The sequence below is a fragment of the Homo sapiens genome, chromosome 5 (genome assembly GCF_000001405.40).
Source record: "Homo sapiens chromosome 5, GRCh38.p14 Primary Assembly".
NCBI classification, from domain to species: Eukaryota; Metazoa; Chordata; class Mammalia; order Primates; family Hominidae; genus Homo; species Homo sapiens.
This window is the reverse complement of record NC_000005.10, coordinates 142,109,950-142,123,702: the sequence shown is the minus strand read 5'-3', so window position 1 is coordinate 142,123,702 and position 13,753 is coordinate 142,109,950. Positions and strand designations below refer to the sequence as shown.

Sequence of the window (13,753 nt, the reverse complement as noted above, 5' to 3'; positions counted from 1 at the left end):
TCAGACTCATTTTAAAATAATTTATATAAAATCTAGTCCATAATTTAAATGCAAAGGTGGTAAATACATTCTGTTTTAACCTCTCAAGACCCCGTATATAGATTTCATCTAAGATATGTTAAAGCTCTAAAATAGAAACATGGAAGCACAAACAAGCTCCTAATTATTTGTCATTTAAAATGATACATTAAGCAGCTCCTTCCAAAGGAGAAAAAAAAGTCACAAAAGACCATGGACTACAACTGGCATCTATTCAAGAATTATTTTATGGCTGGACATGGTGGATCTCACCTGTAATCCCAGCACTTTGGGAGGCTGAGGTGGAAGGACTGCTTGAGCCCAGGAGTTCAAGACCAGCCTGGGCAACATAGCAAGACCCTGCCTCTTAAAAAAAATAATTCTTTTAGATTTCAAGAACAATTTTAAAAATCACTTGTTTGGGCCAGGCACAGTGGCTCATGCCTGTAATACCAGCACTTTGGGAGGCCGAGGTGGGACGATCACTTGAGATCAGGAGTTTGAGACCAGCCTGGCCAACATGGTGAAACCCCATCTCTACTAAAAATAGAAAAATTAGCTGGGTGTGGTGGCATGCCCCTGTAGTCCCAGCTACTTGGGAGGCTGAGGCACGAGAATCACTGCAACCTGGGAGGTAGAGGTTGCAGTGAGCCGAGATTACCCCACTGCACTCCAGCCTGGGCAACAGAGCGAGACTCTGCCTAAAACACAAAACAAAACCAAAACACACACACGAGAACTCTACTATTCATTCAGAAGACACCATTAGGAAAGTGAAAAGAAAATCCAAAGAGCGGGAGGATATATTTTTCAGACAATGGACTTATATCCAAAATATATAAAGAACTTCTTAAAATCAATAAGGAAGCCATTCAATAAAAAAAGGGACAAGACTTGAATAGACATTTCACAAAAAAAGATATCTAAATGGCCAATAAACTTACAAAAAGGTGCTCTATTTCATTAGTCATTATAGAAATGAAAATTAAAACCACAGATGATGACCAAAATAAAAAACAGAAAATACCAAATGTTGTTGAGAATATATAATAACCAGAATTCTCGCACTACACTACTGATGGGAGTATAAACCTGTACAACTACTTTAGAAAACTGTTTGCTAATATCAACAAAAAATGAATTTACACATATCCAGCAATTCCACTCCTAGTTATATGTCCAACAGAAACATTTACATATGATACCAAAAGACACATAAGGAGGGAAAAAGCAACAGTATTCATAAAACTGGAAATTATTCAAATGCCTATCTACAGTAGAATAGGTAAATAAATTGTGGTATTTTCACATAATGAGACAGCAGTGTGCATGAATAAACTGTAACCCACATGGGTAAATTTTGCAACATCATGTTGAGCAAAAGAAGCCAGACTCAAAACAGTATTTACTGTATGATTAGATTCATATAAAGATTTTTTTAAAGAACAGGCAAACTAAACATACCAGTGAGTATGTCCCGGGAGGAGAGTGACTGGAAAGGCACTGAAGGGATCTTTTGGAGTGCTGGCAATGCTGTTTCTGGATTTAAGTACTAGTTAGCTGTGCATGTTCAGTTTGTGAAAATTCATTGAGCTGCACATTTGTGATTGTACATGTTTTTATACATAAATCATACTTCACTAACAATTCAGAAATGGGAGAAGAAAAAGACTGTACGAGGAATAGTGATGCAGACTGTGAGCCCTCTGTGGACTGAGACCTTTGCATGGTTTATCACTGCGTTCACCCCAGCACTTACCAGTGAGTGGCACAGCATGGATACATTAGTGAGTGTTGGCCAAAACAGGCATGGAGGTGGATTTCTAACAGAAACTTAGCTGAAGAAATAGCAGCTAATCTTAATACCATTTTAACTTACCAGTTCGCATCTATGAAAAGTATTCATATTACTTTACAAATCTCCAAATAAATTCACAGGCTATGCATGTAGCCATACACAGATGACTGCTATAACTGTAGAGAGGACAGTGATGATGGTTTCAGGAGAGGAGAACAGCAGGTATGGTATCCCCATCAGTACTCAGCACAAGGAGTGCATTTTAAACATGGAAGAGTTGAGGAGAAACATGGCCTTACAAAGCAACTAAGGCAAAAGCAGCTCTCTCCTACTGACTGGTCTAAAAGAATACGTGTGAAACAAACAAACTTTCAAAAAAGATTGCTATGATTTGGATGGCAGTCACAGGTCTCTGATTTATTATTGTTATTTTGCACAAGGTATATCTATACTATGTATTCCTTTCATATGTATCCATAATTTCACAATAAAAATGAAAAGAATAGTATGGCTTTATAGTTACCAATTTTAGAAAGAAATAACAGAAAAGAAACACAAAGGAGAAACAGGCATCTCCAACCTTTATCTCTTTAGAAATGAGAAATGTTTAACATTTAGTATTCAACCTACAGCACTTAGCATTAAGTGCTCAGGTGTTCAATTAAAGTTTGTATTATATATGAAGGAAAACTTATCTTGATCACAATGTAATTCCTACAATATTGTTTCTTCTAAAAACAACCAATTAGTATATCCCAAGAATGGAATATTCCACATTGAAAAGACAGTGAAATCAAATGTAGACACTGAAAGACAGTGACAGAGCCATGCCTAGAACCCAGGCTTGCATGTTGACTGCAGCCTGCTCAGCTCTGATAGTGAGAAGTTCCAAAAGCTATGCTTGCTCATTAGCCTGGAGTAGAGCATACTCAGGTAGACATTATGGGTGGGAAAAGGTATTCTATTCAGGAGAGTCCACCTTGATTCAGGCCTGGTCATGAGGTCCCCTCTTCCTTCAAGAACAAAGAGAGCCAAAAAGTAGGTGCATCAAGCATTTAATACCTTTCCTGTTACACTATCATCACAGAATGTTTCATTCTACAAGTATTCAACTGCTAGGTTAATTTAACAACTCTCATTAAATGTGTCAGGCCACAACTGATGTGGGGTCTGGGGACAGAACAGTGACATGGCTGGTGTTTTTGGCCTCACTAAGTCTGCAAGTTTAGCAAATGAAACACAAAGAATTACACTTACTGTATAATGTCCAATTAAAGATTAGACAGTTGCCTCTTATTCCTCCTGAAACCCTCTTAAATATAAATGTGAGTAAAATGTTGTTTGTTTAAAGGCAAAAAAACTTACAAGCAACAGGAAAGGAAGCAGCAATAAATTTCTGAAAGCTAGAAGCAGGATGACAAGTGGTAACTGACTCAGCAGACCCAAGAAAGCTAAATCCTAAACCAGAAAGCCAAAAAACAACCTGTTTTGTATCCCCCAAAAGCTCAAGAACTGGTGGCACCAGGTACTGGTAGAAGTACAAGTGAAAATGAGATTTATAAACAGACGAGATTGGGCATGTTCAGAGTGGTATGGCTGTAGACGAGATTTATAAACAGAAAGAAAGTTTGGGCCGGGTGCAGTGGCTCATGCCTGTAATCCCAGCACTTTGGGAGGCTGAGGTGGGCAGATTGCCTGAGGTCAGGAGTTTGAGACCAGCCTGACCAACATAGTGAAACCCCGTCTCTACTAAAAATACAAGAATTAGCTGGACATTGTGGTGCGTGCCTGTAATCCCAACTACTCGGGAGGCTGAGGCAGGAGAATTGCTTCAACCCGGGAGGCAGAGATTGCAGTGAGCTGAGATGGCACCACTGCACTCCAGCCTGGACAACAGAGCGAGACTCCGTCTCAAAAATAATAATAATAATAATTTGACAACAAGTAGCTAAATCAACACTGAATTCTATAGAGAAAGGACTGTGATGATTAAAGGGACTTGGGTTTTATCTGTAGCGCTTTCAATTTTTATAGGATTGTATTCATTGTTAATCAAAATTTAACAATAAGTCTAAGATGAATTTGGTAATAGATATATGAGTGTTATGTTATACTATTCTTGCAACCTTCTCTAAGTTTAAAATTATTTCTAAATAAAATTTTCTTTAAAGGTACTTTAAAAAGAAAGCAAACATGATCATTAGCAGAAAGTTTGGAAAATAAAGAAAAATCAGTCCTACCATTTTTCTTAAAACGTGTTGTTTAAAAAGAAAAAAAAAGACACTATGCATTTGTGAAAATTTATAGAACTTGATAGCACAAAGAAAGAATCTCAAGGTATGCAAATTTTAAAAATCCACTTAGGTGGCTGGAGGATGTATGCAAAATGTGACAAAACAAGATAACTGTATTATAAATGTTTGAAACAACCTCACTCAAGTGGGTGGAGGAAAAGGTGCTGACCTAAGTAACATTTGGAAATAAGTAGAGTTTTTAAGACTAAAGGCAAAGGAACTGTACATATGCTTTGTCCTGTAGTGGTTATAATACTATTTCCCACAGGGGTGTGGGTTAATAATTCTGATACAACTTACACATGTATATCAGAACTGAAGAATGATGTAAATGGATGGTGGAAGTGAGCCAGGTTTCTCCATGTTGGAGTGGGAGTTTATAGATAAGGGGAGTAGGCTAGAGTGACCCATATGGTAACAAATTAGAGGTGGAGATATTAGTATGAACTTATGTTTAGCTTAATATAGATAGATGGTACATACAGAAATAGTTACAGATGTGTATACCCACAGGTTAATATACAGACATATATAGTTCCTTGCTCTGTCAGCTTAGAAGGCCTAAAAGCAATGACACCCTAGTAGCAAGGAGCACAGATCTTGGTTTGTAGTATTATTTTTCAATAAAAGGAACCTAGGCTCCTTGGAAAAATGCCTGATTCTAGGATAGTGCAGGAAATATATAAGATGAGCCTAGTGCCAAAAAGTATGGAAGTGGTTAAAAAAAAATCCACAATGATGGAGGTATGCAATTTAAGCAATAAAATAAAGCAGTTATTGGATAATTGGAAGAATAAAATAAATATTTATGAGTCTATACAGATATAAATACTAAACAAATTATCAGAGCAGAGACAAATGCCCCATGCAGGAAATTCCAAATAATTCATGTCAATACTTGGCCCTCAGCGAGGTGTTACATAACTCCCCACTCCTTATGTGTGGACCATGCATAGTGACTTCCTTCCCAAGAGTAAGTATGGAAAGTGGGGTAAAACGTATCTTTACAGAAGAGAAACCTGAGAAACACTACCTCAGCCAGGTGATCAAGGTCAATGTCAACAATGATAAGTCATGTTGAAAGTGTGCATTCTTGATATGATGTGATGAGAACAGCACTTTACCTGTGGTCTTCCCCCAAATCCACAGCCCCAGTCTAATCATGAGAAAAACATCAAACAAACCCCAATTGAGGGACATTCTACAAAGACCTGACCAATACTCCTCAAAACTGTCAAGCTCATCAAAAACAAGGAAAGTTTGAGAAACTCACAGCCAAGAAGAGCCTAAGGAGACAGGACGACTAAATGTAACATTACCACATTATATCATCCTGGATCCTGGATGGGATCCTGGAACAGAAAAAGGACATTAGGTAAAAACTTAGAAAATCTGAACAAAGTACAGACTTTAATTGATAACAATGTACTAATATTGGTTCAATAATTGTGAAAACCGTACCATACTGATATAAGATGCTAATAGGGAAAGCTGGGCATAGGGCATATGGAAACTCTCTACTGTCTTCTCAGTGTTTCTGAAAAATTAAAAATGTTTCAGCTGGGTGTGCTGGCGTGTGCCTGTGGTCCCAGCTACTTGGGAGGTCAGTGGGGGAATGATCGCTTGAGCCAAGGAGTTTGACGCCAGCCTGGGTAGCAACATAGCAGGAACCCATCTTAGGGGGAAAAAAGTTCCAAAAAGTAAAGTCTATTTGAAAGTACAGATTTATTTAAAAAACATTTAAAGCCAAGGAAAGGTTAAGAAGAAAGCCTGAAGATGGAGGGTTGCAGTGAGCCGAGACTATGTGGCTGCACTCCAGCCTGGGTGCAGAGTGAGGCCCTGTCTCAAAAAAAAAAAAAAAAAAGCCTGTAGAACACACACCAAACTTGAGGAGCAGTTACAGCTCTGCAAAGAGATAGGGAGGAAAGGGAAATCAAGTTTTTCTTTAGAAAGTTACTGTTTGAATCTAGCACATGAAGAATGTATTACTATTTAATACAAAATGCTTAATTTTAAATATCACATTTAAGCATCGAATGATAAAATGAAATCGGCCAGGCGCAGTGGCTCACACCTGTAATCCCAGCACTTTGGGAGATGGAGGCGGGTGGATCACGAGGTCAAGAGATCGAGACCATCTTGGCCAACATGGTGAAACCCCCTCTGCTAAAAATAGAAAAAATTAGCTGGGCGTGATAGCGGGCGCCTGTAGTCCCAGCTACTCAGGAGACTGAGGCAGGAGAATCACTTGAGCCCAGGAGGCGGAGGTTGCAGTGAGCTGAGATTTCGCCACTGCACTCCAGCCTGGCGACAGAGTGAGACTCCGTCTCAAAAAAAAAAAAAAAGCAAAAAAAGAAAATGAAATCATTATTAAACAGGCACCACTCCCTAAACCCTTATATCTCTATTCATAAATTGTCCAGTCTCCAGATAGACCTCCAAATTGTATTCAAGCCTTTGATTATGGTAAGTACTAATTAATATTGCTGAGATAAACTAATTTAAAAGACAAAAACAGAAAAATGGTCAAAGATTATGCTAAATTGCTCGGGGAGGGGGATAAGAAATATATTATACATATGGGCCGGGCACGGTGGCTCATGCCTGTAATCCCAGCACTTTGGGAGGCAGAGATGGGCAGATCACTTAAGGCCAGGAGTTCGAGACCAGCCTGGGCAACGTGGTGAAACCCCATCTCTACTAAAAATACAAAAATTAGCCAGGCGTGGTGGCATGCACCTGTAACACCAGCTACTTGGGAAGCTGAGGCACGAGAATCTCTTGAACCCAGGAGGCGGAGATTGCAGTGAGCAGAGCTCTCACCACTGCACTACAGCCTAGGTGACAGAACCAGACCCTGTCTCAAAAATAAATAAATAAATAAATAAAAAAGAAGAGGAGAGAAGAGAAAAGAAAAATACATATGAAGGTAGCCTGGGCATGGTGGCTCACACCTGTAATCTCTGTAAGCCAAGGTGGGTAGATCATTTGAAGTCAGGAGTTCGAGACTAGCCTGGCCAACATGGTGAAACCCCACCTCTACTAAAAATACAAAAATTAGCCGGGCCTGCTGGCGGGCACCTGTAGTCCCAGCTACTCCAGAGGCTGAGGCAGGAGAATGGCTTCAAACTGGAAGGCAGGGGTTGCAGTGTGCCAAGATTGCGCCACTGCACTCCAGCCTGGGGAACAGAGCAAGACTCTGTTGAAAGAAAGAAAGAAAGAGAGAGAGAGAGAGAGAGAAAGAAGGAAGGAAGGAAGGAAGGAAGGAAATAAATAAATAAATATACATATGAAGGGAACTGCATTAATAAGAAAATATTTCACTAGGAATGCTCTTAAACTTGATCAGTGCTAGTATTTAGGACATTTAATATAAATTATGTTATTCAGAAAAATCATGAGTAAGCCTTATTGTAACAGCAGGATGTGCTAAGTGATATCAAGTTACACTTGCTTTACTACCACTCTTGGTCAAGTTAACAAGACATATCATACAGTCATCCCTCAGTATCCACTGGGAATTGGTTCCAGGACTCCCCACAGATACCAAAATGGGAGGATGCACAAGCCTCTGACATAAAATGGTATAGTATTTACACATAACCTACCTCATGTACTTTAAATCATCTTTACTTATAACACTTAATACAATGTAAATGCTATGTAAAATAGCTGTTATAGTGTATATTTTACTTGCACTATTATTTATTATTGTATGGTTATTTTCCCCTATTTTCAATCTGCAGTTGGTTGAATCTGCGAATGTAGAACCTGTGGATACCCAGAGCCTACTCTAACTCATACCCCCACCTAGCCAACCACTAGAAGCAATTACCACTGGAAAGTATGTCAAGCCCAAAAAATTTCATACATGATGTTTGCCAGTTGCCTAGCTTATTGGCAACAATGACTTGAAAAAAAGATAAACCATCATGCCAATTTTCAGTATGAATGGAACAGAAGTATTAAAGTTGCTTTATCTAAATTGTCCATTATTATAAGAATATAGGCCGGGCGCAGTGGCTCACACCTGTAATCCCAGCACTTTGGGAGACCGAGGCGGGCAGATCACTTGAGGTCAGGAGTTCAAGACCAGCCTGGCCAACATGGTGAAACCCCATCTCTACGAAAAATACAAAAAATTAGCTGGGCGTGGTGGTGGGCACCTGTAATCCCAGCTACTCAGGAGGCTGAGGCAGGAGAATCGCTTGAACCTGGGAGGCGGAGGTTGCAGTGAGCCGAGATCGCGCCATTGCCTTCCAGCCTGAGCAAGAAGAAAGACACTCCATCTCAAAACAAACAAACAAAAAAGAATATAATTCTTCTAAGCTGTTGTACTTGCTTAAAGGTAAAACAAGAACATTTTAAGAAACCAAAATAATTATTTTAAAGCCCTAAAAACAAATAAATCTGAGGATGTCACTTGAATCTCTTGGAGACTTTTTTTCTTTCTTAATAAAAATATGAAGTTATTCTCATGGTAGGATTTACTTTATAATCTACCATAAAATTATGAAATATAATTAATGTCTAGGATAAAACAATTTGAAGTTATGTGCAGTTAAACTACTGGTGGCATCAGCTTAGAGCAAAATTCCCTAGAGCAGTTCAACTGGGCCTTGGTTTCTGCCCAAACCAGGAAGCACTGCCCTATTTTCAGGACACAGATAGTATGATTAAGCCAAATAAATCTTGCCTAACAAGTGGTCACCCATGGGATCAGGTAAGAAAACAAGGATAGATTAACAGGAATCTATCACTGCTACAAAAACAAAGCATGAGGCTTGGCAAGAGTGAGCCCAATCAATACAAAGGACAGTTAGTTATGGATCCACAGCCCGACACTGACAAATCCTGTTTCCATACTCCTCACAGATTACAAGAGAGCTCTCATGATATATTCCTCATGTGATATCTTCTTGAAATATCATACCATTTGTTTTCTTTTAGCGTTACACATAGAAATATTTATCAATATATGATTTCTAGGATTCGTTTCAAAATAATGTGGTGAGTATAAGTGAAATAATATTGGCCATTCATTCACAATTGCTGAAGCTGGGTGATGGTACATAAAATTTCTTACACTACTTTATTATTGTATGTGTTTGAAATTTCCATAGTAAAAAGTTGAAAATGTAAACATCATGAAGAAATTACTCCTACAACTCGACAACAAAAAACTCAATTCAAAAATGAACAAAGAACATGAATACACATTTTCTCTAAAGAAAATATCAATGGCCAATAAGCACATGAAAAGATGCTCAACATCGCTAATTATTAGGGAAATAGGGATCAATACTGCAATGAGATACCACTTCACACCCATTAGATGGCTACTATCAAAAAAACAAAAACAAAAAAGAGAACATAACAAGTATGTTGAGGATATGGAGAAATTGGAATCCTTATGCATTGTTGGTGGGAAAATAAAATGGTGAAGCTGCCATGGAAAACAGTATGGGAGTTTCTCGAAAACTTAAAAATAGAATTGCCGTATGACCCAGCAATTCCATTTCTGGGTATATCCAAAAGAACTGAAAGCAGGGACTTGAAAGATATTTGTAGACTCATGTTTTTTATAGCAGCATTACTCACAATGACCAAAAGGTAGAAGCAAACCAAGCATCCGTCAACAAATGAATGCATAAACAAAATGTGGTACATATATAAAATGGACTATTATTCAGCCTTAAAGAGGCAGGAAATTCTGACACATGCTACAACATGGATGAACTCTGAAGACATTATGCTAAGTGACATATGCCAGTCACAAAAGGACAAATCCTGTCTAATTCCACTTATGAGAGGTACCTACGGTAGTCAAATACATAGAAAGTAGAATGGTGGCTTCCAGGGGCTGGAGGAGGGGGAATGGAGAGTTATTGTTTAATGGATATGGAGTTTCAGTTCTGCAAGGTGACAAAGTTCTGGAGATGGACTGGTTCCACAACAATGTGAATGTACTTAATGCCACTAAACTGTATACTTAAAAGTGGTTAACATGGTAAATTTTATGTGTATTTTACCACAATTAAAGTTTTCAAAGGAATAATTTACCCATCTTCCTAATATTTTTATAAATTTTCTTTGATCACTGACCATGTAGGCCACAAATACAGCATATAACTTAAGAAACTTTGACATTTAGGTTATGTTGGCATTCTGTGATATAACTTCTTTTGAAACTGAAAAATAAGCAAAAAAGCCACATAAGCACTATTCATTCCTTCCTCCAGGATCATTACTTCATCTAATAATTTAACATGAATATGGTTTGACCTATCAGAGATGAAATTCTTATGCTCATCAAAATATTCCTCCATAATCCTGAGAGAATTTATCCAAAAGTATACCATTCCAAAATCTGCACTATAATGTCATCAAACTATCATACAGAGTATTGGTGATGCTCACAAGTGGGCAACTTCTTTAGCAGGTAATGAGGCAAGTCCAGAACTAAACATTCTGTAATCTGTTTGAACCTACATGGCAGTGTCATCATCACCCACTTACATTGAATTCAAATCCAAGTATCCCAAAATACTTGAAATGAATTGGCAAAATTCATGCACACATCTACCGCAGAAGATCTGCGTTCATCTATGGATGAACGGGAGTTAACGTCCTCAGAGAGAGAAACACGCAACAGGTTTCTCAGCACTCAGTATGGGCCTACTTAGGTCTTTCTAAAATAGTGCTTCCATACTGTCTGAGACAGTCTCAGTTTCAAAAGGCAAAAATGAAAAAAAAAATAAAATAATGCCAGGGGAACCTATAAGCCTAGCCTCTTTTTTTTTTTTTTGGACAGAGTCTCACTTCGTCGCCCAGCCTGGAGTGCAGTGGCGCGATCTCGGCTCACTGCAATCTTCACCTCCCGGGTTTCTCCTGCCTCAGCCTCCCGAGTAGCTGGGACTACTACAGGCACGTGCCACCACGCCCAACTAATTTTTTGTATTTTTAGTAGAGATGGGGTTTCACCATGTTAGCCAGGATGGTCTCGATCTCCTGACCTTGTGATCCGCCCACCTCGGTGCCTTTTTTTTTTTTTTTTTTTAAGACAGTCTTGCTCACCCAACCTGGAGTACAGTGGCGCGATCCCAGCCTACTGCAAACTCTGCCTCCTGGGTTCAAGTGATTTTCCTGCCTCAGCCTCCCAAGTAGCTGGAGTTACAGATGTGCACCACCACACCGTGCTTTTTTTTTTAAACAGAGTCTTGCTCTGTCGCCAGGCAGGAGTGCAGTGGCACGATCTCAGTTCACTGAAACATCTGCCTCCCAGGTTCAAGCGATTCTCCTGCCTCAGCCTCCTGAGTAGCTGGGACTACAGGTGCACGCCACCACGCCCAGCTAATTTTTGTATTTTTAATAGAGATGGGGTTTCACATGTTGGCCAGGATGGTCTCAATCTCTTGACCTCGTGATCTTTGTGATCTGCCTGCCTTGGCCTCCCAAAGTGCTGGGATTACAGGCATGAGCCACCTTGCCTGGCCATTTTTTGTTTTGTTTTGTTTTGGTTTTTTTTGAGACAGTCCCACTCTGTCACCCAGGCTGGGGTTCAGTGGCACAATCTTGGCTCACTGCAACTTCTGCCTCCCAGGTTCAAGCAATTCTCCTGCCTCAGCCTCCCAAGTAGCTGGGATTACAGGTGAGTGCCACCACACCTGGCTAATTTTTGTATTTTTAGTAGAGGCAAGGTTTTGCCATGTTGGCCAGGCTGGTCTCGAACTCCTGACCTCAAGTGATCCGCCCACCTCGGCCTCCCAAAGTGCTGTGATTACAGGTGTGAGCCACCACACCTGGTTGAGCCTACCCTTTCTGCATAGTCTGTCACTATGCTAAATTCAAGTTGTCCACATATTACACTACCAATAAAAAGACCATAAAGACAAAACTGTGTTTGCATTTATGAATGAATCATACAGTTTTCCATTACATTTACTTGGTGAGAAAACTAGCTCAATTTGATTAACCAGATCAAATAGAAGTCAGAACAGCCCTGTGTGACAACCAAAGAGTATCATGCTCCTATCAAGTTGCCTGGACAATTCACCATCATTCTATAATTCAAAAGCCTTTTAAAAATGCATATTCGCTGACCAGGCATTTCCATGGCTAGTAATTTATGCTAAGGAAACGGTTGAAGACGTATGTGAAATAAATTTCAATGAAAAAAACTGTAAACATTCTTAGTGACCAAAGATAAGCAATTAGTTAAATTATGATTCAGCCATACAATTACATGCCATGCAGACATTAAAAATATTTTATATAGAAGACATTAATAACATTGTGTGAAGAACATTACAAAATAGAATTATGAACCTATTTCATTATTTATCTAGCATGCCTTTGTAGATACATGTGCATGATACACATGTGCAAATGTATGAATGCACATGTCTGAGAACAAGATACACATGGACACGTGCAAAAGTATGTGCAAGTATGATCGGGGCTCATAAAACTGCACACAAATGTACAAAGATATGTCTGTATACGTATATATGGGTACATAAGAGAATACATATGCATGTGTATATATCTGCTAATGCATACACCTATATCTGGACTGTGAGCCTGTGTTTTAAGTAGGTGAGTGTGTGTATATCCTTATAATCACTACTTAGCAGCCTGTGACCTTGAGGCAAGTTACTGAGCCACTTTGAGTCTTTGACAATGAGAACAAACCCTGGTTCATAAGGGTTTGGTATGAATTAAAAGAAAAAAAAAATGGATGTAAATTACTTAATACTGTGATTGTTGCATAAAAAAATCAATATTAGCTTTCCTGCATTCCTTATCTGTACACACATATACTGATCTATAACTATGTATATTTACATAGCTATAAACCCACAAGAATGCACATTAAAATATTACCTTTGGTTATCTATTTGGTTTTTGTTTAGGGAGGGTTTTGCAGTTTTTTGGGCTTTCATCTTTTACAATTTTTCTAGGAAGATTTTTTTCTCTTTTTTTTATACTTCAATTCTGCATAATTAAAAAATATTAAATGCCACACTAAGGAATACATGATTTTGATACTCCAGCAAATTTTTTATATTCTAGCAGTATGTCAGCATTACCTAATAGCTCAAGAAGATGGCAGTACAAAGAAAAACCACAGCTCTTTTGCTCGTTAGCCTTATCCAAGTCAGGATGAAAAGGATGAAATCAGATGACAGTATACAGTAGGGGTGATTTGCAAACACTGTGGTGACAGTTAAGTGGCATCTGTTATTCCCATTTTATTAAAGCAGTAAGGAACCCGCAGGCTGCCCAAGGTCATAGAAAAAAAGCATGTGCTAGATCCATGTGCTCTGAAGAGATCTAAGGATTAACTGCATTGCCACAATTTGGGCCGTGTTTATAAAACCAAGAAGTGAAATTCTTAACTAGTCATTTTGGGAGTCCAAGCCTGAGTGGGGACGGATTGCAACACATGGCTGATGATAGCAAAACAAACCAGTAACCGGCCGGCCGCACCAGGGTTAATCTACGTTTTCATCGTACTGGCTGGCTTTCCTTACTTCTAAAATATAAAATTGTAGATCGTCTAAGATAGGACATTTTATTTGATAAAAGGAGGATTGACATCTGTATGCACCGAAAGCATCTGAAACATGACAAACACAAG

The 13,753-nt window shown here is 38.9% G+C and overlaps 1 protein-coding gene across 1 annotated transcript in view; it reads right to left on the bottom strand.

Annotated features, from left to right (window-relative positions):
• The window catches only part of NDFIP1 (Nedd4 family interacting protein 1), a 45,662-nt gene that overhangs the window by 30,738 nt on the left and 1,171 nt on the right, over window positions 1-13,753 (bottom strand). The gene's annotated exons all lie outside the window — the stretch shown is intronic.